We start from the raw sequence: 4,843 nt of genomic DNA, 5'->3' as shown, positions 1-4,843 counted from the left end.
GGCGCTTTTTTCGAAGACGCCCGGGAGCTCTTGCTTTTGCTTGAGGGTCTTTGGTGTTGACTGAGAGCGAATTAAAAGGTTCTCAGCTTTCGCTAAGGAACGCATTCTGGAGTCTAGAACAGGCGAAGATGGGACTGGGGTGTCTGGGGACTTAGACGTGAGCGAGCAAGGGAATCCGGGGTAAGTTCGCTGGAAATGACCTGCGCGACACTACCAGTTTACCTGGGTATGAGCGCCTGGAACAGTGTCTGGCAATTGAACAGATGGGTGTGTCTTGCTGTGAGGGAGTTTCTTAGTTCGATTCGGTGTCTGGGACCCTGCGTGGACCTGTTTATGTTCATGGGATGTTTTCTAAATTTATGCCTGTGTGAGTCTGTTTTATTAGGTGTGAGATGAACTGTGTTACAGATTTTATATGCCGCTGTTGAAAGACAACAATAAGTGGTAGTGAGTGGATATTGTGACCGTGGAGACTTATGGCAGTGCAAAGGCGGCCATAAACAATGCACAAGCAATCCAGCATGGCTGTGTTCCAATAAAACTTGATGGATTATAAAATTTGAATCTCATTTTTTATAGAGTATGAAACCATTTATTCTGAAGCACACACTCATACTCCAAAAACAATACTATATATTCCCTCTCTCTCTCTCCTGTGTGTTTGCGTGTGTGTGTGTGTGGGTGTGTGAGAGAGAGAAAGGTTTTAAAGGAGACAACTAACTGATTCTGAGGTTAGGGCAAAAAGATTGGGGCTGTGGTTGGTGTGGTAAGAACCTTTGGATATAAATACTTTTTTAAAAAAGAATTGTCTAAAAATATTAAAGCGAAATTTTATATTAAAACTAACAGAAAGAAAAGGAAGTTACTTTTTAGGGGCTCTTTCTGGTCACTGATATCACCTCTCTCATCCTCTGCCATCTCTCACCTCCTGGTCTCTCTTGCTTATCAAGAGAAGACTAGAGCTCTTGGATCCCAGCTTTTCCCCTGCCTCAGCTGAGGCCACTACCCTGGTTGACTCCCATGGTGACATGGATGCCTCATCCAGTATCGTGGGTCTGAGTCCTCATCTGCAGGGTCCTTGAGCTTTCCTCGGCACCCATCCCCGTTTCCCATCTGGGACTTCATTATCATCAGCATCTGCTCCACCTCCAAAACCACTGGTGGAAGCAGCCTCCTCTCTTCCCATGTTACTTGCTCAATGACTCCCACAAGTACTACTCTGAATATTTTGGGGGTCTGATTTTTTTTTAATTTTTTATTTCCATAGGTTTTTGGGAAACAGGTGGTGTTTGGTTACATGAGTAACTTCTTCAGTGGTGATTTGTGAGATTTTGGTGCACCCATCACCTGAACAGTGTACATGGCACCCAATTTTTAGTCTTTTATCCCTCACCCCCTTTCCACCCTTTCCCCCAAGTCCCCAAAGTCCACTGTGTCATTCTTAGGCCTTTGCATCCTCACACCTTAGCTCCCACTTATGAGTGAGAATATACGATGTTTGATTTTCCATTCCTGAGTTGCTTCACTTAGAATAATAGTCTCCAGGCCGGGCATGGTGGTTCACACCTGTAATCCCAGCACTTTGGGAGGCTGAGGCAGCTGGATCACCTGAAGTCAAGAATTCAAGACCAGCCTGGCCAACATGATGAAACCCTGTCTCTACTAAAAATACGAAAATTAGCCGGGCACGCTGGTGGGTGTCTATAATCCTAGCCATTCAGGAGGCTGAGGCAGGAGAATTGCCTGAACCTGGGAGGTGGAGGTTGCAGTAAGCCAAGATAGCGCCATTGCACTACAGCCTGGGCAACAAGAGGGAAACTCCATCTTAAAAAAAAAAGGAAAAATAAATAAATCCAGGCAAATGCATTAATTCATTCCTTTTTATGGCTGAGTAGTATTCAACTGTATATATCTACCACAGTTTCTTTATCCACTCATTGATTCATGGACATTTGGGTTGTTAAGCATTTTTGCAATTGTGAATTCTGCTGCTGTAAATATGTGTGTACCAGTATCTTTTTTGTATAATGACTTATTTTCCTCTAGATACCCAGTAGTGGGATTGCTGGATCAAATGGTAGTTCTACTTTTAGTTCTTTAAGGAATCTCCACACTGTTTTCCATAGCGGTTTTACTAGTTTACATTCCCACCAGCAGTGTAGAAGTGTTCCCTGTTCACCGCATCCACGGCAACATCTATTTTTTTTTCCATTATAGACATTCTTTCAGGAGTAAGATGGTATTGTACTGTGGTTTTGATTTGCATTTCCCTGATCATTAGTGATGTTGAGCATTTTTTCTTATGTTTGTTGGCCATTTGTATATTTTCTTTTGAGAATTGTGTATTCATGTCCTTAGCGCACTTTTTGATGGGATTGTTTGTTTTTCTTGCTAATTTGAGTTCTTTGTAGATTCTGGATATTAGTCCTTTGTCAGATGTACAGATTGTGAAATTTTTCTCCCGCTCTGTGGGTTGTCTGTTTACTTTGCTGACTGTTCCTTTAGCCACGCAGAAGCTCTTTAGTTTAATTAAGTCCCAGGCCCTTTGTTTTTATTGCGTTTGCTTTTGGGTTCTTGGTCACAAAATCCTTGCCTAAGCCAATGTCTAGAAGGCTTTTTCCAATGTTATCTTCTAGAATTTTTACAGTTTCAGGTCTTAGATTTAAGTCCTTAACCATCTTCAGTTGATTTTTGTATAAGGTGAGAGATGAAGATCCAGTTTCATTCTCCTACATGTGGCTAGCCAATTATCCCAGTGCCATTTGTTGAATAGGGCGTCCTTTCTCCACTTTATGTTTTTGTTTGCTTTGTTGAAGATCAGTTGACTGTATTTGGGTTTATTTACGGGTTCTCTATTCTGTTCCATTGGTCGATGTGCCTATTTTTATACCAGTACTATGCTGTTTTGGTGACTATGACCTTATAGTTTGAAATCAGGTAATGGGATGCCTCCATTGCTTTGTCTTGCTTTGGCTATGCGGGCTCTTTTTTGGTTCCATATGAATTTTAGGGTTGTTTTTTCTAGTTATGTGAAGAATGATGGCAGTATTTTGATGGGAATTGCTTTGAATTTGTAGGTTGCTTTTGGCAGTATGATCATTTTTACAATCTTGATTCTACCCATCCATGAGCATGGGATGTGTTTCCATTTGTTTGTGTCATCTATGATTTCTTTTAGCAGTGTTTTGAAGTTTCCTCGTAGAGGTCTTTCACCTCCTTGGTTAGGTATATTCCTAAGTATTTTATCTTATTTTATTTTTGCAGATGTTGTAAAAGTTGTTGAGTTCTGGATTTGATTCTCAGCTTGGTCGCTGTTGGTGCATAGAAGAGCTACTAATTTGTGTACGTCGGAAACTTTGCCGAATTGGACTACATTTCTAGAAATGGATTCCTGAATTAAAAGAGATGCTTCTCTTAAATATTTATGTAAAGTTACTCTCAGAAAGGTTGTAAGTGGATTCCTCCCACCAAAAGTATTGTGAATGAATATCTTCTTAAAATTTACAATTGTTTTGACCATTTCCCAGTCCTTAAACCAATGATAACATTTTATTTTCTTTTTCTTTTTTCTTTTCTTTCTTTCTTTTTTTTTTTTTTTTTTGAGACAGAGTTTTGCTCTAGTTGCCCAGGCTGGAGCAATGGCACGATCTTGGCTCACCGCAACCTCCACCTCCCAGGTTCAAGCGATTCTCCTCCCTCAGCCTTCCCAAGTAGCTGGGACTACAGACATGCGCCACCAAGCCCAGCTAATTTTGTATTTTTAGTAGATATGGGGCTTCTCCATGTGGGTCAGGCTGGTCTTGAACTCCCAACCTCAGGTGATCCGCCCACCTCAGCCTCCCAAAGTGCTGGGATTACAGGCGTGAGCCACTGCGCCCGGCCTTTATTTTCATAATATTTCCATGTCTTTTATTTCTCATAAGCTTACATATGCATTCAAGTATTTATTGGTCATTTTCAATTTTTCCTTCTAAGAGTCTATATTCTTTACCTATTTCTACACATTTTTGTATTCATCTATATGTTGATTTGTTTTAAATTTATTATCTGTTTGTTGTATCTGAAATATTTTCCCTTAGTTTATTTGCTACTTAAATTTGAGGGAGGCAGGGAAGTTTACTGAAACATACTTTATATTTTCTATAATTTATTAACTATTTACTTCATAATTTGTGTTTTGGCTGTCAAGCCTACAGACCAAAATTATAATAACATCAATTTGTAATTTGATAAGCACTCTGGTAGTCTATTTTTAAGTTATACATGTCGTGAACATTATTTGTTTTAATGTGTGAGGGATGGAAGTTACTTTATTTTTCCAGGTGGTTAACTAGTTAACACAGATTATTGCTTTTCTGTAATACTTTTACTGAGATATAATTCATATACTCTAAAACTCACCCATTTAAAGTGTACAATTCAGTAGATTCTTTTTTATTTCTTTGAGACAGAGTTTTGCTCTTGTTGCCCAGGTTGGAGTTCAATGGCGTGATCTCAGCTCACTGAGATTATTGCTTTTCTGTAATACTTTTACTGAGATATAATTCATATACTCTAAAACTCACCCATTTAAAGTGTACAATTCAGTAGATTCTTTTTTATTTCTTTGAGACAGAGTTTTGCTCTTGTTGCCCAGGTTGGAGTTCAATGGCGTGATCTCAGCTCACTGCAACCTCCGCCTCCTGGGTTCAAGCGACTCTCCTGCCTCAGCCTCCCGATTAGCTGGGATTACAGGCACCTGCCATCACGCCTGGCTAATTTTTGTATTTTTTAGTAAAGACAGGGGTTTCACCATGTTGGCCATGCTGGTCTTGAACTCCTGACCTCAGGTGATCTGCCCACC

This window comes from Homo sapiens, chromosome 19, assembly GCF_000001405.40.
Source record: "Homo sapiens chromosome 19, GRCh38.p14 Primary Assembly".
Classification (NCBI taxonomy): domain Eukaryota; kingdom Metazoa; phylum Chordata; class Mammalia; order Primates; family Hominidae; genus Homo; species Homo sapiens.
Note: the sequence above shows the minus strand (reverse complement) of the source record.